General features: G+C 51.0%; 1 protein-coding gene across 2 annotated transcripts in view, besides 2 other annotated features; it reads left to right on the top strand.

Annotated features, from left to right (window-relative positions):
• Positions 1–22,787, top strand: part of HTT (huntingtin) — a 169,280-nt gene that overhangs the window by 134,508 nt on the left and 11,985 nt on the right. For both annotated transcript variants that reach the window (NM_002111.8, NM_001388492.1), the window contains 14 exon segments: positions 639–761; positions 2,741–2,954; positions 3,376–3,521; positions 4,770–4,947; positions 5,922–6,023; positions 8,577–8,764; positions 10,994–11,120; positions 13,199–13,299; positions 14,218–14,372; positions 14,804–14,943; positions 16,473–16,555; positions 19,427–19,557; positions 19,692–19,821; positions 20,699–20,854. In NM_002111.8, coding sequence (NP_002102.4) covers positions 639–761; positions 2,741–2,954; positions 3,376–3,521; positions 4,770–4,947; positions 5,922–6,023; positions 8,577–8,764; positions 10,994–11,120; positions 13,199–13,299; positions 14,218–14,372; positions 14,804–14,943; positions 16,473–16,555; positions 19,427–19,557; positions 19,692–19,821; positions 20,699–20,854 — 1,974 coding nt within the window.
• Positions 4,263–4,763: an enhancer, noted in NCBI's record as "H3K4me1 hESC enhancer chr4:3215178-3215678 (GRCh37/hg19 assembly coordinates)". NCBI's record gives its function as "activates a minimal SCP1, AML or CMV promoter by ChIP-STARR-seq in primed H9 embryonic stem cells {active_cell/tissue: H9 hESC(primed)}" and the evidence as "EXISTENCE:reporter gene assay evidence [ECO:0000049][PMID:30033119]".
• Positions 4,764–5,264: an enhancer, noted in NCBI's record as "H3K4me1 hESC enhancer chr4:3215679-3216179 (GRCh37/hg19 assembly coordinates)". NCBI's record gives its function as "activates a minimal SCP1, AML or CMV promoter by ChIP-STARR-seq in primed H9 embryonic stem cells {active_cell/tissue: H9 hESC(primed)}" and the evidence as "EXISTENCE:reporter gene assay evidence [ECO:0000049][PMID:30033119]".

The raw sequence follows: 22,787 nt of genomic DNA on the forward strand, positions 1-22,787 counted from the left end.
GGCCTTCAAGCACATGTCAATGCCGTTAGCCTCCCTCCATCTCCTCATACCTTCTGGCCACCTGTGAGTTGCACTGCCACTGCCAGCCATTCTGGTATGTTGTCAGCACCTCCACTGCTCATACCTCATGGTTAGGGACCACCTGGAGCCTTGGTAGAGCCTTGGTAGAGCCTTGGTACTCTACTTTCCTGGACAAAGTTCAGCTTATGAATATGAATTTAGATTTCAAAAACCAGCAGCCCAAGTATAAGAAAGCGAAGGTTCAGTCCTGCCTTCTTAGGCTCTATTCGCTAAGCACCTGCCCTGCCCTGGTTGCTGGGGAGAGATGAGTAAAGCAGACAACCCAGGAGAGGATGGCAAAGGGGCCGCTAACCCTTAGTGGTTTAGCTATATTTGGAAGGCCTATTGGAAGTTCACCAGGTGAAGGGGGAGGCTGTGAGGGTGCCCAGGCAGGTAACAGAAGTCCAAAGGGGAAAACCTGTGGTGTGGTGAGCCGTATAGCCACAGCCTGCCGGCCGGCAGCCCTCTCAGCCTAGTGCGGTGTTCCCAAGCACTGGCCTAGGCCTGTAGCTCCAGGGATGTGAAGTCCCCTTGAACGCCGCCCATCATGTTCCCCTTATCCATTTTTTTCTTCCCAGGACTGGTACGTTCATCTTGTCAAATCCCAGTGTTGGACCAGGTCAGATTCTGCACTGCTGGAAGGTGCAGAGCTGGTGAATCGGATTCCTGCTGAAGATATGAATGCCTTCATGATGAACTCGGTACGGGGGGAGCAGTGGAGGCAAGGAATCCTCAGCTTTTCTTGTGACTTCCAAGTGGGATTTGTCTCATCATCATGTGACCCACTTGTTGACAACACATGTTGGGGACTCCAGTCTGGGCAGGGACGGGATGTCGGAGAGACTCCACTCTGAATGGGGCCGGGAAGTGGGGAGGACTCCATTTCAGATGGGGTCGGGACATGGGGGTTATGCTGATCGAGACAGAAAAGCACATTGTTTCAGCCACATTAGAATCCACGGAGGTGTTGTTTTGAAATCCAGCTGGCCCCAAGGCTGGGTGTATGGTTTGGGATGAGAACTATCTGGCCTCCACTGGAGGAACAAACACAGGATGTTATCATCTAAGCTCCATGGCCAAGACAGAATGGAAGTCAAGGTTGCGTATTTGCCGTAGACTTCAACACAGTGTCGTAATGCGTGACGTCAATAACTTGTTTCTAGTGTCTTGGAAGTTGATCTTTAGTCGTAAAAGAGACCCTTGGATGCAGCGAGATTTCCTCTACTCACACCTCTGTTAGATGTAGTGAGGTTCTTCACCCCCCAACCCCAGATGTCAGAGGGCACCCTGCGCAGAGCTAGGAGGCCATGCAAAGCCTTGGTGTCCCTGTCCCTCACCCGTGGGCAGGTCCTGTGAGCAGTGGGGGGGCCACCTCTTGGGTATGGTGCAGCCATGGCCCAAGCAGGGCTTCTTCTCAGACCTACTAGGACGGGAGAAACCTCCTGGTGCTTTAGCCCTGCGTTGATATGCAGCAAATGGGAGGGAAGTGGGCACCTGGGAGGACAAATGCCTGTAGAGGCCGGGAGTGACGGCAGGTGTTCATGAAAAGAGACCTTGTGGGGAGGGCAACACAACAGTGTGTTCTGATGTACTGAAGAGCTCAACTGAAAACAACAGGAGAATTAGCCCAAAATCCATTTACTAAAATTGTTTATCTTTTTTTTTTTTTTTGAGACAAAGTCTCGCTGTTGTCCCCCAGGCTGGAGTGCAATGGCGCTATCTTGGCTCACTGCAACCTCCGCCTCCTGGGTTCATACGATTCTCCTGCCTCAGCCTCCCAAATAGCTGGTATTAACAGGCATGCACCACCACGCCCGGCTAATTTTTGTATTTTTAGTAGAGACGGGATTTCACCATGTTGGCCAGGCTGGTCTCAAACTCCTGACCTCAGGTGATCCGCCCACCTCGGCCTCCCAAAGTGCTGGGATTATAGGCCTGAGCCACCACGCCCGGCCTAAAATTGTTTATCTTAAGATTCATGCAGTGAAAGCTAACTTACTGAGTGATAAATTTGCTTAGTGATCTGTTTATTAGGTTTTCCAAATTTGCTAATTGGGCTTTGAACAGCTGTAAAAGTTCTGACTGTAAAAGAAAGCTTCAACTTTTGGCATTCATGATGCTTTTCTGAGTATTAAACTAAGATAGATGTTTTACCTGAAGGATCGGCCACCAATCTTTAAATGGCTAAACAAAAGGGTTGCTAAAACATAATCCAAATTGACATAAGAAATACCATTTTTCCAACCAAAATTTTGGCATTCATATGGCTACTTTTACGTATTTCAGCTGCATTTGAACATCTTTTTCAAACTTTAGGGTGGTTGGTGTATCACTGAGGTCTTGGATGACACTTTAGCTTTGATTTTGTTTTTATGAATTAAAATTGTCATACCAAAATTTTTATTTCAAGCAAATCCAAGAGCATAAAAAATTAAAATATTACTTAAAATACTAAGAGAGAACAGATATATATTTTACTAAGCATATGTTGAATGAAATTGTTCAAATATTTATAACAGGCATAGAGTAGAATTTTCTTAAAAATATTTTTGATGGTATACCAATTTGTATTTTCTCAGAAACATTTGCCTTATTCTTTTTTCTGTTGTGTTTTTCTTACCTGATTGAAAGCTCATAATCTGTTGTTATTGTTTGTTAACCTTTAATGCTCTGATTTCAGGAGTTCAACCTAAGCCTGCTAGCTCCATGCTTAAGCCTAGGGATGAGTGAAATTTCTGGTGGCCAGAAGAGTGCCCTTTTTGAAGCAGCCCGTGAGGTGACTCTGGCCCGTGTGAGCGGCACCGTGCAGCAGCTCCCTGCTGTCCATCATGTCTTCCAGCCCGAGCTGCCTGCAGAGCCGGCGGCCTACTGGAGCAAGTTGAATGATCTGTTTGGTAATTAAAATTAAAATTTATCTTATTTTTAAAAAGCATTCCAGGGCCAGTATAGTACTTTGCACCAAGTAAATGTACAATAAAGGCAGTGGATCTAATACATTGAAAGCGTTTACAGAGGTAGCTAAAGAGCAGCACGGGTGTCCTCGGCTCAGAATTTCTTCCTGTGTGTTTGCCACTTTGCCATTCATTGACATGGTCATGGACATAGGGCTCTAAGCCCTTGAGGAAGGCTGGGCCAGACCTCAGGGGAGATGCAGCCCCAAACCACGTGCAGTCCTGTGGACGGATGTGTAGATGTGCCACTGAGGAACAATGTCTTGAGCTTTCATCAGATTCTCAGAGAATTGCTTGACTGCCTTTCGAAGTTGATGCATCTGTGCTCACGTTTGCACCCACCCACGAGGTCCTTCTGTTTCAGGGGATGCTGCACTGTATCAGTCCCTGCCCACTCTGGCCCGGGCCCTGGCACAGTACCTGGTGGTGGTCTCCAAACTGCCCAGTCATTTGCACCTTCCTCCTGAGAAAGAGAAGGACATTGTGAAATTCGTGGTGGCAACCCTTGAGGTAAGAGGCAGCTCGGGAGCTCAGTGTTGCTGTGGGGAGGGGGCATGGGGCTGACACTGAAGAGGGTAAAGCAGTTTTATTTGAAAAGCAAGATCTCTGACCAGTCCAGTCACTTTTCCATCTCAGCCTGGCAGTAAGTCTTGTCACCGTCAAGTTATTGTAGCCATCCTTCACCCTCACCTCGCCACTCCTCATGGTGGCCTGTGAGGTCAGCCAGGTCCCCTTCTCATCTGCACCTACCATGTTAGGTGGATCCTAATTTTAGAGACATGAAAAATAATCATCTGGAAGTACTTTATGTCTTAAGTTGGCCTGGACATGTCAGCCAAGGAATACTTACTTGGTTTGTGTTAGTGCTTGTAATTCGCCCCCAGAATGTGTACACGTTCTGGATGCATTAAAGTCTGGCCTGTATCCTTAAAGGGCCATCGCTGTGCTGCCTGCCCTCAGCAAGGACACACTTTGCAGACCCACAGAGGCTCCGCCTCCACCTCACACCAAAGAAAGGGAGGAGTCCAAAGGGCATCAGTGCCATTACTCACAAAATGATAAATACACCCTTATTCTGAACCACGTGGAGTCATATGGTTTGTGATCCCTGTCCTTCAGGTTTCAGCTTAGTGGGGAAGTGGGAAAGTCAGCGTGTGATCACAGCACAGGGTGATTGCTGCTGATTATATTATGTGCCTGCTGTATGCAGGATGAAATACTTTATATGCGTCATCTTATTTGACTCTCACAACCCCCTGTGAGATAGGCTCTGTTACTCCCATTTGACAGGTGAGGAAAGCAAGGCTTAGAGAATTTCAGTGACTTGCCCAGGTCCTCTGAGCTAGGAAGTAGCCATTCTGGCATTTGAACCCAAGGCCTGCTATCCCTAGAACCCACGCTCTCAAATTCAACCTATGACAGAGGCAAGCCCTGGTGCTGTGGGAGCCCCAAGGAAGAGCCTCTGGCCTGGTGGCCACGTAGCCCAGGAGAGATTTCTACAGGAGCCCACAGCGCTGAAGGAGAGAGAGGCAGCAGAGTAAGGGGGCTTTGTGGCAGAGAGGGGACTGGCACTTTGGGGAATAGGTGGGTCAGGACTGAATGTAATGGAGCCATGTCAGAGCTGTCCTTCTGGAAGGGCAAGGGCACCTGGACGCGCTGCCCCTCAGTGCTTTGGACGGTTCCACAACTGTGATTCACACGGCTTCCCCAAACGAAGGTACACGAGTGGGCATTCTGTGACTCGGTACTTCCCTTTAGGCCCTGTCCTGGCATTTGATCCATGAGCAGATCCCGCTGAGTCTGGATCTCCAGGCAGGGCTGGACTGCTGCTGCCTGGCCCTGCAGCTGCCTGGCCTCTGGAGCGTGGTCTCCTCCACAGAGTTTGTGACCCACGCCTGCTCCCTCATCTACTGTGTGCACTTCATCCTGGAGGCCGGTGAGTCCCCGTCCATGAACGGTGGGTTCCTATCATAGTTCCTGTCTGCTTCACCATGTTTTTATTTTGTGCTGCCTGTTTGCCAGGTACTAAGCTAGGAATTGGGGATGGAGAGGTAGATAAAATATGCATCAGGAAGGGCTGGGCCCCATCTCTTACTCTCCAATATATTGGAGTCTACACTGGAATTTAACTGGAATTTGCTTTTTTAGTCATTTTATTTAGATTTTGAAGTTTCAGCTTTCATCAAAAATACCTCTAAACTTTATGTCTCTGTGATCTTTGGTCTTAGCTGTTTTATGTATTTAGTCTTATATGATCATAAGATTAATAACATTACATTCAGAAGATTATTTGTTTTCTGTCAGAGTTAAAATGTTTGTTTTTATACTGCATTGTAATATTAACGTACTGTAAAATAAAAGTGGCTTGTTCTTTTCAAGGAACAGTATCCTCAACAAGGGTCATTAGCCACAATTTTTAAAAAATTGGACGTCATAGTTTACATGTTAGAGGGCGTTTTGAAGCTTTGTATTTTTAAATTAAATGTTATAGAGTGATGTTTTCATGTTTCATAATTGTTTTCATCTGTGCATTTGTAGCCAACTTGAAAACAAAGATCCAGGGATTACTACTTAAAAGCCAGACTTCTTGGAGGTTATAGTGATGATTTTGATAGTATCTTGAGCCGTCTCATAATAACCTCAGGGTGAGAGATGGCCAACAGGAGACAGTCGAGGGACTTAGAAATCTGAATGAAATCTGAAGTTCAAATCTTCAGACATATACCACTAACCAAGAGATTGGTACCTCAGTCTAGTATTGTCTGTTTGTCTAAAATTGGTTCTAAGGAATCTAGGCTAGTCTGTCTATCCCTTTCAACTTTTGTGAGGCTGCACAAATGTAAAATGTTGAATAAAAAGCACTGATGGAAGTGTGTAGAAATTCTTCTCTTTGTTCTGTTGTAATTTTAGTTGCAGTGCAGCCTGGAGAGCAGCTTCTTAGTCCAGAAAGAAGGACAAATACCCCAAAAGCCATCAGCGAGGAGGAGGAGGAAGTAGATCCAAACACACAGAGTAAGTCTCAGGACCCATTTTTTTCTTACATGTTGTTCCTCCAGGACTTAAAAATCATTCACAGAGACGTGCACCGCGGTGAGTGTGGACTCCTGGAAGCGCACCGTAGCTCCGCTGTGTCCTGCTGCTCCTCCCTAGCTGTCAGGGAGGCTGTAGTCCATTGCTTTGCCAGCTCTTTTGTTTCCGAGTGAACACCTTATCCGTACACATGCGGCTGTCTCTGACCCTACAGACCAGCTGGGATGCCACTGGGGGAGCGCTCCCTTCCCCCCGCACTTCCCACACTCTGCAGTTATTCTGAGATCCTTGAGGGCAGGGAACAGGTTTGTCTTCTTTGTGTTCTCAGAAATTAATGCTCGGCCTCTGGTCAGCAAGCAACAACCTTTTGTTGAGTGATAATGAATAAATAAATGTTTCCCACATGAGTATTCAGTAACCTCAGTGTCAGGTTCAGCCATCTGTTTTGGTGGATATTTAAAAGAAAATTCCGCTTTTCCTACAGAAAAAAAAAAAAATCCAAATCCCAGTGATTTAAGCCAGTTATAGACTTAGACATATACTACGGCTTTTCATGCACTTTCCTCCCAATTCTAGAGTAGGTATTTTACTAGGAAAATGGTGGCAGTGCCTGTTGGGAGGAAGATTCTTTGGCCAAGTGTCTTTTGTTCTTGCCAGGGCCCCTAGGCTGCTGGGGTGCTTCAGCTTCTTTAGCCCAGTGTCTGGTGGGGAATGGCCCCTGTTGCCTGTCCCACAGAGGTGGGGGTGCCTCACCTGGAGCCTGTCCACACATTTTACACAGCACGCTTACCTGGAGCATCAGGCATCTTTTCCATGCTCTGTGGCTCAGGAAACACGCCTTTTCAATCATGAGTGCACCAGTGCTTTTGGGCTTTTTCTCCCCGCTTTTGTGCAATCCTGGTTGTGGATGGAGTTTTCCTGTCTTTAGTCTTCTGCATAGTACTTTTCTCTTCTGGTTCCCGGTTCAAGGTTTTGTAATTAGAGAATGACCCAGAAGCAATGGCATTTTAATGCACAGCCAAGGACTTCTCTGAATTTGTATCTCAAACCTCTGTGGGTCCTTCAGGCTTCAGTTTGTGATTTCATGATTTCTTGTTGCTACCTAAGGAATATGAAAACACCCACCTCCCTACTCTGCATCTTCCAGCCGAGTGGCACCTCAGGCTGTGGATCCTGTGCTTCTGTGGTGAGGATAAGAATAGTGCCAACCGTGTGGATTGAAATCAATCAGTTAATCCCTCCATGTAAAGCACCTGGAACGGATGACAGTCTTGTTATGAATACTCAACAAATGCTATCATGATTTTTAGTTAGATTTCCATTGCTTTAAAACAGTTGAGACATCTTGGCGGTTTGAGTTAGAGCAACGGGCCCTGAAGTGGGTTCTGTTTGGGTGAAGATGATTATGCTTATTCCCCATGGCCCTCTTTAGGCAAGAGTGGGAAGCTTTCTTTGTTTTTTTAATCACCTCGATAGGACGTTACTTCTTAAAGGTCATCCAATAAATATTAATAGGCCGGGCGCGGTGGCTCACGCCTGTAATCCCAGCACTTTGGGAGGCCGAGGCGGGCGGATCACGAGGTCAGGAGATCGAGACCATCCCAGCTAAAACGGTGAAACCCCGTCTCTACTAAAAATACAAAAAATTAGCCGGGCGTAGTGGCGGGCGCCTGTAGTCCCAGCTACTTGGGAGGCTGAGGCAGGAGAATGGCGTGAACCCGGGAGGCGGAGCTTGCAGTGAGCCGAGATCCCGCCACTGCACTCCAGCCTGGGCGACAGAGCAAGACTCCGTCTCAAAAAAAAAAAAAAATATTAATAAAGCCAACTCGTTAGCGTGGGGCTTAATTGCTTAAGTCCAATGAGAAGTCCTTCTCTATCCTAGGAAGTTGCCCAAACTGTAGAATCTCGTGGCCTGTGGGTAATAGCCACGTAATACACACTCACTGCCTCAACAAATCATATTTTAGTAGGTATGATATTCTAGACTCAAGACACCATTCTGTGGATCTTCCCAAGGGTGTGAAGTGTCCACAGCGTCTGCCTTGGGAGTTTCCATGCCCACCAGAACCATGCCCCAAGCCCCTCAAGCACTCTGACCTAGGAAAGCCAGTGAAGCAAGGATGACAACATGGCCCTTTGATACTAGCTGAGGGACAGACACAGGTCCTGGGAGACCAGAGAAAGACGAGGGGCAGAGGAGGTGTCCTAAAGGAAGTCTGAGGCTGAGGAGCCACAGGATGGCTTCCAGCTGTCACAGGCTGCTGCTGGCCTTATCACAGAGAGTGGGCCAGAGGGCTGGGAACCAAGGCCAGAGCTCAGGTTCAGGACCATTCCAGCAATCCCAGCAGAAAATGGGGAGAATTGTATGGTATAGGCGGATATGAAGGTAGAATCTGCAGGCCTTCAGTGGCCAACTCAGAGTCTAAGTGGATTCCACAGTTACAGCTTGAGCAGCTGGTTGTAGGTCATGCTTTCTACACTGGGCATATAGGATGTGTTTTTTAAAAAGTCCTCTCTTAACCGTTGCTTGTTTAGATCCTAAGTATATCACTGCAGCCTGTGAGATGGTGGCAGAAATGGTGGAGTCTCTGCAGTCGGTGTTGGCCTTGGGTCATAAAAGGAATAGCGGCGTGCCGGCGTTTCTCACGCCATTGCTAAGGAACATCATCATCAGCCTGGCCCGCCTGCCCCTTGTCAACAGCTACACACGTGTGCCCCCACTGGTGAGTCTGCTCGTTCCTTGCAGAAGACCAAGTACGGTGAAAGGCACCGGTAGGCCCTGGGCTGGGCACACGTGAGAGGGCGGGACAGAATCCCCGCAGCCCAGAGGCTGCCTGCTGTGGTTCTGGTGCCCACTGTGGTTCTGGTGCCAGGCTGCTTTCCTCAGGCACCACGTGTGGAGGTCGCTAGTAGAAATACTGGGTTTTCTAAAATGAACTGAGGCCCTACATCCCTAAGAGATTAGTGTTAGACCTGATTCTAGAGCAACTAGACCACTTTGCTTAATAGCAGACCAGAAACCACACCCCCTCGAGTGAGTGAGATTTTCCTTTGGAGATAATTCATGTTTTTCTACACAGTTTTGCAGTTGTCTTCAGAATTGGTTTAAAGTAGGTGTTATTGCCAGGCGCAGTAGCTCATGCCTGTAATCCCAGCACTTTGGGAAGCCAAGGTGGGCGGATCACTTGAGGTCAGGATTTCGAGACCAGCCTGGCCAACATGGTGAAACCCCATCTCTACTAAAAATATAAAAATTAGCCAGGTGTGGTGGTGTACGCCTGTAATCCCAGCTACTCAGGAGACTGAGACAGGAGAATCGCTTGAACCCAGGAGGCGAAGGTTGCAGTAAGCCGAGATCGCGCCACTGCACTCTAGCCTGGGCAACAGAGCAAGACTCCGTCTCAAAAAAAAAAAAGGTAGGTGTTATTGATCAGAACCCTTGTTTCAGATAACATGAGGAGCTTAGCTTGAGGAGAGTGAGGGTTGATGGAGGGGGACTGACTTCTGCCCAGTGAAATGGCATCATCTCCCACCAGCCCGCTGAAATAAGATGATGGGGCCTGTTCCTTAGGGCCTGCAGCATCCTCAGGCAGGAAAGAAAGGCCGACCTGGCAGGGTGTGAGCCAGCAGGTGTAGGTCAGGGAGAATGGAGCCAGGTCCCAGGGAAGAGGCTTGTGGCTGCCTGAGAAGGGTGCGTGCCTGCCTGTGTGTGTGTGTGCACGTGTGTGTATGTATGCTGGAGAGTCTAGGGAGGCTTGCTCCAAGGACGCAGTATTGTTTGATCCTGAGAGATAAGGATTCTGCCGCAGGGAATGAAGGTATTCCAGATGGCGGGCTTATTCCGAAGAAGAGGCCAGTGCCTGGCGGTGCTGGAAGCAGTTGCAGAACAGGGAGTTGTAGGCTTTCCTGGGAAGAGAGCAGCAGGGGTGCTGGAGAAGCAGGCCACACTTGCTGCATGGGGTTGCTCTCGGCCCCACTCTTGGTGCACAGCGAGTCACTGTGGGTTCATTAGCATCTGGTTATGAGACAGTAACTGCTCCTTTGGAGGGGCTCGTGGAGACCATGCAGGAGGGCACGGTCTTGAGGTCATGCCGTCCAGAGCACACCTGAGGATAGGCCAGGACGGGCTGCACGCTGTAGGTAAAATTCCTCCAGCAAGCTCTTCACTGGCATTGAGGAGTTCCCTGAGTGCGGTCATCTGGAAGGCAGCTGTAACAGGCACTGCAGTCTCTCCCTGGGTGGGTACCAGAGAGGAGCATAGGGGAGCATAACCGATTTAAAGAGAGGGCTTTCCTGTGGTGAGGTAAGAGATTAGCTGGTCATTATCATAGAGCCCCCTCTGCCTTTGTGCAGATGGGCTGTGGGAATCCTGGGGTTCCGTTGGGTCCTTTGTCACCTCACTGAAGGCATGTAAGCTGAGCTGGCCAGACCGTGAGCTGATCCTGCCACTTGAACAGCATCAAGCCTGCCTCTGGATTCTTCTGTGCATGGCACTTGTCTGAGCACCTCACGCACAGAGAACTGGACTTCAGAGTTTACAGAAATAAGCTGTATGGTTCATTTTCATGCCTGCTTGCCAATAAACATATCTGAGCTGAACCTCATTGAACGCCTGCCTTTATTCTAGCACAGCACCTGCTGTTTGTGGGCGAGGGGTGCTGTCTCTAACTCCTGCCTGCTTCTCCCAGCACTCCCTGAGTGGGGTGTGCCAGCAGCCTCAGGATGAGGACAGGAAGTGGGAGGGCAGAGCAGATTTGGGAGGGCCACTTGATGGGGAAGGAAGTCCCAGGAAGCAGTTGGAGCTGTTTTCTGGGGGAGAAGGTGCCAGCTCTGGGACAGTGTTGGGGTAGTGAGGAGGGAGCCCAGTGGAGAGAAGTCGGGCTTCCTGCTTCCTCACAGTATGTCTGTCCTGACTCAACTCGGATGATGTCACTTCCTTTTCATCTTCTCAGGTGTGGAAGCTTGGATGGTCACCCAAACCGGGAGGGGATTTTGGCACAGCATTCCCTGAGATCCCCGTGGAGTTCCTCCAGGAAAAGGAAGTCTTTAAGGAGTTCATCTACCGCATCAACACACTAGGTACTCTTGGGGCCTCTCCTTCAGGTCACCATTGTCGGACATCTACCGGGAGGAAATCCAGAGCCCCCAGTACTGGGATCTTCTCATTTGACTCCAGAAAAGATTTAAGCATGATAATAATACAAACCTATGTGAATACATTTTGCAGTGTTGGCAAAACTCCTTTTATACTGAGAAAATAGATCCCAGTTCCTGTGTTTTGTGGCTTGAATCCCAGCTTTGTGTATTCCGGGCTTGTTTGAAGTCAGGAAAGGTTCATGTGTAGTGGACAACGTGAGACCAAATTCTGCCTTAGATTTTGCATTTAGGCTAAACAGTGGCAGCACTTGTCTCAGAATGTTTTCTTGTGTTCACCAGTCTGATCCTGTTGTGTCTCAGTGGTCCATTTTCTCATATGGGAACAAGCAGACGGGAGCAGATGGAGTCAGGTTTCTTGGCACTCGCCTTCCCCAGAGCCTAGAGGCAGCATGGGGAGAAAGCAGGCTTGGGGCTCAGACAGTCCTGGTCTGCTTCCAGCCCTCCTACCTGAGCAGCGCAGGGCAAGTCCGTCTAACCTCTAGAGACCCTCAGTTTTGTCATATGTAAAATGGGGGTCGTGTCTATTTCATAGAATTGTTGCAGATTTAGAAATTACATTTCTAAACAAATGTTACCCCTTATTTCTAAATAAGTGTCTAAATGAATAAGTCACCACTTTTGCCCCTATTTGATGGCAAGAGGTGTGATCTTGTGGTGGGACTGTAATCAGTCAGTTCTCAGTGACTGTGCCCTGCTGTGGTGTTTCCTGGAATGTTCCTGTCTTGTCCTAGAAAGTCTGGCAGGGGCACCCTGACTCCACTGTCCAGTCCTCTCCCCAGTCCCTCGGGCTTCTGCAGATTTGAGGCTTGTTTGGATCCCAGAAGGTTGTGGCAGGAGACACCTTGCCTCTACTTTCCCCTTTATAATTCAATGTCCAAAGAGAGCCCTGAGCAGGTACCTCACGCCAGCTGCCTCACGGAGCTCCTCCTCTTCCTGGCTGTGAGGATCGGTATCAGTGGCCTCCTGCTCTCTCCCCCTTGCCTAACACGAGCACCTTTGCTTACTTGGGTGCCCTTGCTCTTGAACTGCCCATCGGACGTGCGTGACCCAAGACTGTGCCGCAGTCCTTGCCTTGTCTGTGCTCATTTTCTTTGTTCATTTTTTTCCCTGTAACGTAAATTGTTATATTTGTCTGTATCTGTGTCTGAATCAGTCCTGCACGCTCTCCTTCTCTCTGTCTCTTGTTCTTTCTTTACCCCGTTTATCACGGGGACCCCGATGTCCATTGCTCTAGTTCTCCTGTCCTAAGCACCCCATCCCGTCTCTCTGGCCTTACCACAAGTGGCGTGGCTGCCTCAGACATCATGATGGGGACATGAAGCACAGCTGTCAGAAACAACTGTTCGTTAGATACACTCGAATGCAGCTCATCAATAGGGATGGAGGGTCTGTCGGATGTATTTTCACTGAATCCCCGTTCCTACCTTGATACACTCTTTTTAATCTATTCTTCTAGACAGGTCAGAGGAACCATTACTTTGACTTTTAAATTTTTAGCAGCTTTATTGAGGTAGAATTCACATACTACAGATTTCACCCACTCTAAGCGGACAGCTTGGTGGCCATTAGTTTTATCCACAGAGTTGTGCAGCCAGCTGCACAGTCTCAGGGCTGGACTCCAGGGAAGATTTTAGCCCATTTAGTGAGTGGGGCAGAAGTGGCCCTGGCCCTGCACGAGGTTGCCTGCATGGGCGTCCCTGCCCTGTCCCTGTGTCTGCTCCACTGGGGGTTGACCAGGCTGCCAGGGCCGACTTGGGCCTGTGCCACCTGCCTCTCATGTGTCTCGGACAGTGCAGCCGATGTCTATACTTCGGTTTCCTCAATGATGAAATGGAGGGGATAGTGTTCCCCGCATCATAGAACTGTGTGAGGTTTAAGGGACTCACTGCCCTTGGCGTGGAGCCTTCTCCAGGGGCCGTGCTGTGTCGGCGTAGCTGTCAGCTCTCCGTTACAGGCTTGAGAAGGGTTGACACTCTCTCATGTAACATTTATATTTCTAGGCTGGACCAGTCGTACTCAGTTTGAAGAAACTTGGGCCACCCTCCTTGGTGTCCTGGTGACGCAGCCCCTCGTGATGGAGCAGGAGGAGAGCCCACCAGAAGTAAGGCCACACCCTGTGCTGGTTGGCACATGGGCAGTTATGGCCGCTTGCAGGCCTTTGGTGGGGAATAAAATAAGGCAGCAAGCTGGTGTTCTTTTTTTCTCTTACCTTATTTTTGAAAGAGTAGCTGAATGGTGTCTTGACTGATATTCCAGAGCAGGGACAAAGCCTGCTGAGGTCTGGGGGCTGCGATTACCAATGGCTGGAATGCATTTTATTACGGTGCATTCCATGTTAAGGATCAATACGATTGTGCCCTTTCTGGAAAATATCTTTTAGTTTATCAATATTCAGAGGAGTGTAGGTTGAATTAAAATGAAAAGGCACTTTATAAAGGCCATGAGTAGTACCTGGTTTCATTTTTCTAATGTCTTGCAGAGATTTTATCAGGCTTCTTGAAGTGTTCACGTACATTACGCTAACACGATATTAATAATAACTGTGCTCTGGTACAGCGGAGCCAGCAGAATGGGAAGTTGTGGAATGCAGGCCCTTGATTCTGATAGAAGGTGTGGTTTGAACTCACAGAAATGACAGTTTGGAGGGTAGACATATGTCACAAGTCATCAAGATTGTCTTTAAATTCATGCATAGAAGCTAACAGGGTGTCATAAGCAAGGCCTGTAAAATGTATGAGGGAATTCAAAGATAATTTATTAAAAAGTAATTCATGTTTGGAGTTTTGTGCCCAAAGGAGTCCTTGATTTGAAAAATGGGCTTTTGCCCATCAGATTGTTTCAGGGCCCGTGTGTGCGGAGGCCCTGCCTTGTGCCCCGTGAGCTCAGCCTGACAGAAATCCTTTGGTAGCACTTAAGGCTCCTCTTCCTCCCATTGAGGCAGGGAAGACTCTGGGTTCTGCAGGCAGAGGTGGTTGTGGGTGTCTTGCTGCTCTTGTTGACATGTGGGCTCTCCTTCCAGGAAGACACAGAGAGGACCCAGATCAACGTCCTGGCCGTGCAGGCCATCACCTCACTGGTGCTCAGTGCAATGACTGTGCCTGTGGCCGGCAACCCAGCTGTAAGCTGCTTGGAGCAGCAGCCCCGGAACAAGCCTCTGAAAGCTCTCGACACCAGGTTTGCTTGAGTTCCCACGTGTCTCTGGGACATAGCAGGTGCTGGGGACAGTGGGTTCCCCGCTGAAGCGTCCAGCAGCTTCAACCAGGCCGTTTTCCTTCATTGCTAGAATTGAAAACACCGTCCGTGTGGCCTGTGCAGGAGATGCAGACCCAAAGGTGGCCTCCTGGTCAGTGAGAAGCTGGAAACGTGACAGGAACTGACGTGGGGTTATTGAGCATTTAGGGGAAGACGTTAGCAGAGCAGGAATGAGCAGGCAACTAGTAGAACACCCACTTAAGGGCTCACGGACAGGTGCTCACTTAGGAAGTGAGTTTCATTTGGTATTACACCAGGTTCCTTTAGGCAAAGCGGAGGGAAAGTTCTGGTGTTTTTCACTTGTAAGATTTTGAAGGAAACAAAACACTCTTTACCTTTTTTCTAAAATGTAGGTTTGGGAGGAAGCTGAGCATTATCAGAGGGATTGTGGAGCAAGAGATTCAAGCAATGGTTTCAAAGAGAGAGAATATTGCCACCCATCATTTATATCAGGCATGGGATCCTGTCCCTTCTCTGTCTCCGGCTACTACAGGTACCTGAGGGAAAGGGTGCGGGGGAGCGGTTGTACTTGGGCTAGAATGAGAGAAGACTGGCATGCTCACCACACCAGTGATGCGGGAAGACCTGAGTGTGGTCTGAGTTGGAGGCTGTGGTGCTAAATACGCTGCCCCTTTCATAAGCAGGAGTCTTAGTCAGGCCCAGGGAGGAAGTAAAATCTGGAAATGAATGAGAAGCATTCTCTCCTGCCAGTCAAGAAATGAGAAGCGAAAGAATTCTCACGGGCTGTAAGACCAGCAGGATTTAAAAGTTGAATTAGTTGCTTATGTTAAGAACTCAACCAAGTTCATCTACACAAGCTGAATCTCCAGCTTTTCCTAAGAAACCATGTGTGGCAGTGGCTGCAGGGCAGGGCACAGCTGGGCCTGAGCACCCCGCTCCCTGCACCTCTCCCCTCCCTGGGCCCTGCCTGTCACTGCCCACTCTCCCACCAAGCCTTCCGGTTGTGTGCCTGCCCTATCACAGGCATCGGAGCTTGTCACCTGGTTTAAAAGAAGAGAGTTGTGTGGGGATTTGGGATGCACGTTTTTCACTCAAAAGTATTTTAGCGTAGAGCTCTGTGATTCCGTAGCTATTTAGGAGTTTAAGCACCTTGAAGGCTTTAATTGCAGAAAGTTCTATGTGGACGTGCAATGTGTTATACGCAGTGTCTATGAGACTCAAATGTTTATTAGGGCGTTGAAGTAAACTGAGCACTTGGAGGGCCATGGATCCAGCCTTCAAGGAGCTCATAAGTCAGGAGGACCCAGGAGCAATGACCTGTCATAGAAGGCAGAAAAGAGGGGCACAGAGGTGGGTGGGAGGCATACACAGGCAGCTCCTGGAGCTCCAAGGGGAGCAAGTGCTTCCAGGGAAGGGGGCGTGGAGGCCCCTTTGGAGGAGGCAAGTTGATCTGGGGTCTGGCAGAGGGTTAGCTGGGGACATTTAGCGGGAGGCTGGTGCCCGGGAATTGGGGGGATGCCCAGCAGAAAGACATGAGGAGGCTGGCCTGGGGCGTGGGGGGGTGTGAAAGGTTAAGTGGGGGCATTATCCTGCTCCCGCTCCTGCCGGCTGTATCTGGTCAGCCTGGGCACCGAGGTGGGGTTCTGGAAGGCACTGTTCACCAAAATGCTTATCTGGGTCCCCCAGAGAGCTTGCCTGCCTGGACTGTCGGCTCGCCTGCAACTGCTGACTCCTAAGCTTTTGCAGCTCAGCCCACAACCAGTTCCTATTCACAGAGGTGGGAGCTGAGGGGTGACAAGTGACTGCTGCAGTCTTATTTGTCATAGAGAAAAAGTGACAGAGTCCAGCTTGCCCACTGGCCCTGCCAGCTTAACTGGTTATAAAGTGACAAATCCCCAAGACCCACAGGGCTCTGCACAACCTGGGCCCTCCTGCCAGTGGCGGCGAGGGCAGGTGGCTCACGGCTGGGTGCCTGTCTGGGCAGGAGCTGGGCTGGTATGGGGTGGGCCTGCGGCCCTGCCCCCCTGTGCAGATCAAGACTCAGGGTGCTGGTGTTCACAGGTGCCCTCATCAGCCACGAGAAGCTGCTGCTACAGATCAACCCCGAGCGGGAGCTGGGGAGCATGAGCTACAAACTCGGCCAGGTCAGTCTCGCGCCCCCGCCGCCTGGCCTCTGTCCGTTTCTGTCCTCAGACTTTGGCGCTTGACACACCCAGGAGAAAAGCTCAGTGCACTTTTTAAATGAAAGGAAGTTTTCCTTTTTTTTAAAAAAAAATTTAATGTTCATTGTTTTTATCTGTTTTATTCCTAGGTCCCGCAAGCAGAGGAAGCATTAGTTTTGTTTTTATTTATGTTCTGTATTCCAGAAAGTAGTTAAGAGACCTCACATGTAGCGATAGAGATGTGTGTAAGAGACAGTGAGAGGGCGTGACTTGGACTTAAGCAAGGACCGTGAGACACAAAAAGGGGGGTGAGGACAGAGTGGAGTCAGCTGAAATGCTCAGGAGGAAGTAGACGCCATGAAGGGCCATGGTATGGGGGGCCGCAGGCGTGGCCGTGAGTGTCCCTGGGGCCAGCTCTTGGGGGGCTCCCTGAGTGTCCCTGTCCCTGTGGCCAGTTCTGGGTGGGAGCCCCGTGTGCAGGCAGACAGCTCGGCCACTTCCTAGCAGGTCACATTGGTCTGTGCTTCTGTTTCCTCCTCAGATAAGTGAAGGGATTCAAGGGTCTGGGTGTGGTGGCTAACACCTGTAATCTATAACATTTTAGGAGGCTGAGGCAGGAGGCTTACCTGAGCTCAGGAGGTTGAGGCTGCAGTGAGCCATGATTGCACCACTGCACTCCAGCCTGGGCAACAGACCAGTACTCTGTCCCTTAAAAAAAAATGTAAACAGAAACGTAGGGCCATTTGCATATGATGGCACATGGCGTGGAGCCCTACAGGTGTATGCTGGGCGGGGCCCGGCTGTGCTGGCCGACTTGCACCTTTCCCTCCACCCCGGTGCTGTGTCTTTCGCTCACCGGGTTCCTGATTTAGTGAAAGCAGTTGTGCAGGACAGTTCTCTTTGTAGCTTTTGTTTCTGTGGAAATGGGTCAGAATATGGTGTTTAGAAACACTTATGAGCTCTGAGAGTTTCCTCTTCTGAGTTCCTGGCCTGCAGCCTTCACAGCAGAAACCCTGTGATGTCACAAGCCTGTTTCTGTTCCCTGCTCTCTGCCTGTACTGTCCTGTTTTGTGCCTGCCGGTTTCAGTGACAGGAAGCAGGGAGCTACTGGACCAGCCTGTATTTTTCTAGACATAGTTGGAAAAAGAAGTCCCACTCTTCTGTCCTTTCACCTTTGACAGATGTTTCCACCCCAAGATAAGTGAAAATGACCAATAGGATGCACTGTATTTTTCATGAAAGTGTTTCTGAAGGGCAGGCTGAGAGTGAGAGGCCTGGGGCTCACTGGGTGCCTCTGGCCTTGTCCTGGGCCCAGGGACACTGGTCTGTGCCCGAGGTATTCCCTATCCCCCCAACCCCGCTGCATTTGGCCACATCCTTCAATGTTTGCGTTGTGTCCAGCGTCCGCAAACCAACTGTCATGGGATCATACTGGGGCTGAAGTACGGTCCCACCCCTGCCCTGTCTGGGGCTGAAGTACAGTGCCACCCCTGCCCTGTCTGGGGCTGAAGGACAGTGCCACCCCTGCCCTGTCTGGGGCTGAAGTACAGTGCCACCCCTGCCCTGTCTGGGGCTGAAGGACAGTGCCACCCCTTCCCTGTCTGGGGCTGAAGGACAGTGCCACCCCTGCCCTGTCTGGGGCTGAAGGACAGTGCCACCCCTGCCCTGTCTGGGGCTGAAGGACAGTGCCACCCCTGCCCTGTCTGGGGCTGAAGGACAGTGCCACCCCTGCCCTGTCTGGGGCTGAAGGACAGTGCCACCCCTGCCCTGTCTGGGGCTGAAGGACAGTGCCACCCCTGCCCTGTCTGGGGCTGAAGGACAGTGCCACCCCTGCCCTGTCTGGGGCTGAAGGACAGTGCCACCCCTGCCCTGTCTGGGGCTGAAGGACAGTGCCACCCCTGCCCTGTCTGGGGCTGAAGGACAGTGCCACCCCTGCCCTGTCTGGGGCTGAAGGACAGTGCCACCCCTGCCCTGTCTGGGGCTGAAGGACAGTGCCACCCCTGCCCTGTCTGGGGCTGAAGGACAGTGCCACCCCTGCCCTGTCTGGGGCTGAAGGACAGTGCCACCCCTGCCCTGTCTGGGATGTTTAGCCCCTAGATGCCACTGGACTGAGCCGCTACTTGCTTTTGGGAAAGAGGGGTGGGGGTTAGGGGTCTGGGCGAGGGGAGTGCAGGGGCTCCTCCTTGGCCTGAGAGCTGTTCATACAGACTCCTCGCCCACTCCCTGCAGGGTGCTGGGTCCCAGGGGGGAAATGGCCCTTGGTGCCAAGAACGTGAGTTGGGGCTAGTGCCAGTGATGATGGAGAACAGCTTTTTATGGGCACACAGCCCACAGCACTGTGCCAAGTGCTCGAGGCTTCCCGAGAACCAGGCAGAAAGGAGGACAGTCGAGGTGTGCTGACTGCGTGGTGGCTGCGTGATCTAGAGCGCGGGTCACAAAGGCGCGAGGGAGCTCTGGCCTTGGGTTTACCGCAATGACTGCCAGTGCGGGAGACTGGAAAAGGAATCTCACGTATTGGTTCCGTGTTTTGGGGACTCCATTCAGATGTCACTTAGGAGTGAAAGCATCCCTTCGTAGAGCCTCTTTCTGTGTCACCCTCCTCAGCTGCTCCTGGGGTTGACTGGCCCCTGATTCATGCCTTTAGCATGTGCTGGAGCTTCCCAGCAGCTGTCCAGCCCCTGCCCCACCCTCTCTGTGGGCTCCCTTGCCCGTAACCTGGGGTGTCTGAACGACCCTTGCTAAGGGGCAGACTGTTAGACGGTAGGCATGTGCTGAGTCCCAGTGGCCACACCCACCCACCAGGAGCCTGGCACTGTGGCCGCAGCACTGAGCAGTGCCCCGTTTCTGTGGCAGGTGTCCATACACTCCGTGTGGCTGGGGAACAGCATCACACCCCTGAGGGAGGAGGAATGGGACGAGGAAGAGGAGGAGGAGGCCGACGCCCCTGCACCTTCGTCACCACCCACGTCTCCAGTCAACTCCAGGTTTTCCAATGGCCTTTTTCTTTTTAACAGAAATTTGAAATTTCTTATCAGTCATTTGATTTGTTTGAGGTGCTTCTTGAAATGAGCCTCTCATCTCATGTACTTGGAAAATACCCATCTCGCATATTCCACAGGAAACACCGGGCTGGAGTTGACATCCACTCCTGTTCGCAGTTTTTGCTTGAGTTGTACAGCCGCTGGATCCTGCCGTCCAGCTCAGCCAGGAGGACCCCGGCCATCCTGATCAGTGAGGTGGTCAGATCCGTAAGTGAGCCTTCCCATTCCCCTCACACCTGCACGTGCCACACGCACCACACACGCCACACACCCCACACACACACACCGCCCACACACATGCCACTTGCACACACACCCCTCATGCATGCAACACACACACAGGCCACACGCACCATAGACACCACACACACATGCCACATGCACACACATACACGGCATGCACCATACACACAACACACACAGCACACATGCCACACACACACGCCACACCACATGCACCACACACATGCCACATGCACACACACTCCACATGCATGCACCACACACACACACACACACCACACACACCACATGCACCACACCACACAGGTTACATGCACACAACACACACATGCCACGTGCACACACCCCACACACCACATGTATGTGCCACACACAGCACACAACCACACACATGCACCACACACATGCCACATGTGCATGCACCAGACACATGGCACACACTACACACACGCCACGTGCACACACCCCACACACATGTACGCACCACACACATGCCACACACACATGCACCACACACATGCCACATGTACACACATGTATATACACACCCCACACCACACACACACCACTTGCACACCACGCACACACACCACATGCGCACACACACACCACATACGCCACATGTACACACCATACACACACCATACATGCACCACGTGTACCACGCACCCACACAGACACAGCACACGCATACACCACACACACACGCACACATGCGTCCCGCACAGTAATGTCTCTTGGGTGTAAGAACACGACTTGCCAGTAGTAGCGTTCTGGATGCGTTGCCTGGATTCTAACAGCGCGATTCTCCCCTTGCCCTCCTGGTTTTCCACATCTCCAGCTTCTAGTGGTCTCAGACTTGTTCACCGAGCGCAACCAGTTTGAGCTGATGTATGTGACGCTGACAGAACTGCGAAGGGTGCACCCTTCAGAAGACGAGATCCTCGCTCAGTACCTGGTGCCTGCCACCTGCAAGGCAGCTGCCGTCCTTGGGATGGTAAGTGACAGGTGGCACAGAGGTTTCTGTGCTGAAGCCACGGGGGCCCATCTGCCTTGGGACCTGGTGTTGGCCAGAGGTGCCGGGTGCGGCTGCCTCCTTCCAAGAGTTGACCCGAACCGGACTCCACGGCCCACGTGAGCTGCAGTGCTTCTCAGATGGAGGGGGTTCAGCGACGGTCAGTGCCATTCACAGGTCACTGTGATGTGGGTTGTGGCGGCCAAGCCATGGTTTGGGGTCCCGTATCCCTGGGCTTATGACATCATTGTAGTAGCCCATCCCCACAGAACCACGGTGTGTGGTGGCGCTGAGGCATCGTAGATGGTGGAAATGCTACTGGCTTCCCCATGCTCTGCCCTGAGGCCTGACTGCCTCACTCCCCTTCTCAGTTATGTTCCAGGCCCCCCGAGCTTCCTGGCTGGACAGCTTCTCTCCTGGGGGCCGTTTTGTCACAGTGACCCTGTGTTTCTAGTCCCAAATCTGGGTGCTATAGTCTCTTTTTAGCGTGGTGGTTGTCTTAGTCTTTTTTGGCTGCTACCACAAGTTACCTTAGACTGGGTAATTTATAAACAGTGGAAATTTACTTCTCACCGTTCTGGGGGCTGGAAGTTTTCATGGTCAAGGTGCCAGCAGATTTGGTGTGTGATGAGGGCTGCTCTCTGCTTCATAGATGGCATCTTCTGGCTGGGTCCTCACGGTGGAAGGAGTGAACAAGCTCCCTCAGGCCTTTTAGAAGGGCCCCAATCCACAAGGGCTCTCCCATCATGACCTCATCACCTCCCAAGGCCCCACCTTCTTGTACTGTGGCACTGCAAATTAGGTGTCAGTGTAGGAGTTTCAGGAGGGATAGAAACATTCAGACCATCCCAGCGGTCAAGTGTTCATCCTCTTGAGTTCCTCCTTATTCTGCTTCTGGTTTATCAGGATTCAGCCAGTGCAGCATGGTACCTGTATTCTGTGGCACATCACCACATGGTATTTGCCAAGTATCCATCACCTGCACACGTGAAATCATTGCCCGTGGGTCCCGACATCTGGCGAAGCATATTCAAGGATGGCAGAACTGTCAGAGCTGGCACCTCTGGTTCCTTGTCATGTGGCATTACCTAGTAATCCATTTTATGATAGCAATGGAAACTCATTTCTTCAACAAACACCTGAGTGGCTGCCGTGTGCCAGCCGTCTGGGGCCCTTGGTGAGAATGGCATGGTGGTGCCCATCAGGGCCTGCCTAGCCCGTGCTCTGGACGGGCTCCTGTGTGTCAGGAACGACAATGCTGTCATGACGGTGAATGATTTTTTTTTTTGCCATCACTCCAGCCGCTAACATTTGCGGAGCTCTTCCTCCCGCACCCCCACCTGACAAGGCCAAGGGTGACCTTGGCCCCACCCTAGGCGGCCAAGGTCAGAGGTTAGCTGGCTTGTCTGGGTCACACAAAATGCAGCAGAGGTTGAGGTGAGCACATGTCCGTGACCTGGAGCCTGACTCCCTCTCTGCGAGTCTTGACTGCTCTTGCCTAGACTCTGTCCTCCCCGAGCCCAAACGCCAGTCATCTTCCCTTGTGGGTGTCCTTCAGCCTGGTGCCATGCTGGTGACTCAGCAGCCGTCCAGGGAGTGGAAACAATTGAGTGTGTGGGTTCCCTGTGTGGGCATCTCTCTTCACGGCGAACACCCTCTGGGTGTTGCCCACACGATGTCAAAGCGGCTCTTGGAAGGGGTCCTTCTCCTTTGTGGGAAGTTTCAGCTGCTGGGCTAACTTGAATTGTAACTGTGGTTTTGTGCTCAGGCCCAGATCCCCCTAGGCAAGTGTTGTGCCATCAGTAATCAAATGAGAAATAATCATTTTGAAAAGCAGATCCTAAGGCAGGATGGTCATGGACACTCACTCCCAGCTCTTTGTGCACTCATGCTTTCTGGAAGATGGCCATCCTCT

The sequence above is a fragment of the Homo sapiens genome, chromosome 4, assembly GCF_000001405.40.
Source record: "Homo sapiens chromosome 4, GRCh38.p14 Primary Assembly".
NCBI lineage: Eukaryota > Metazoa > Chordata > Mammalia > Primates > Hominidae > Homo > Homo sapiens.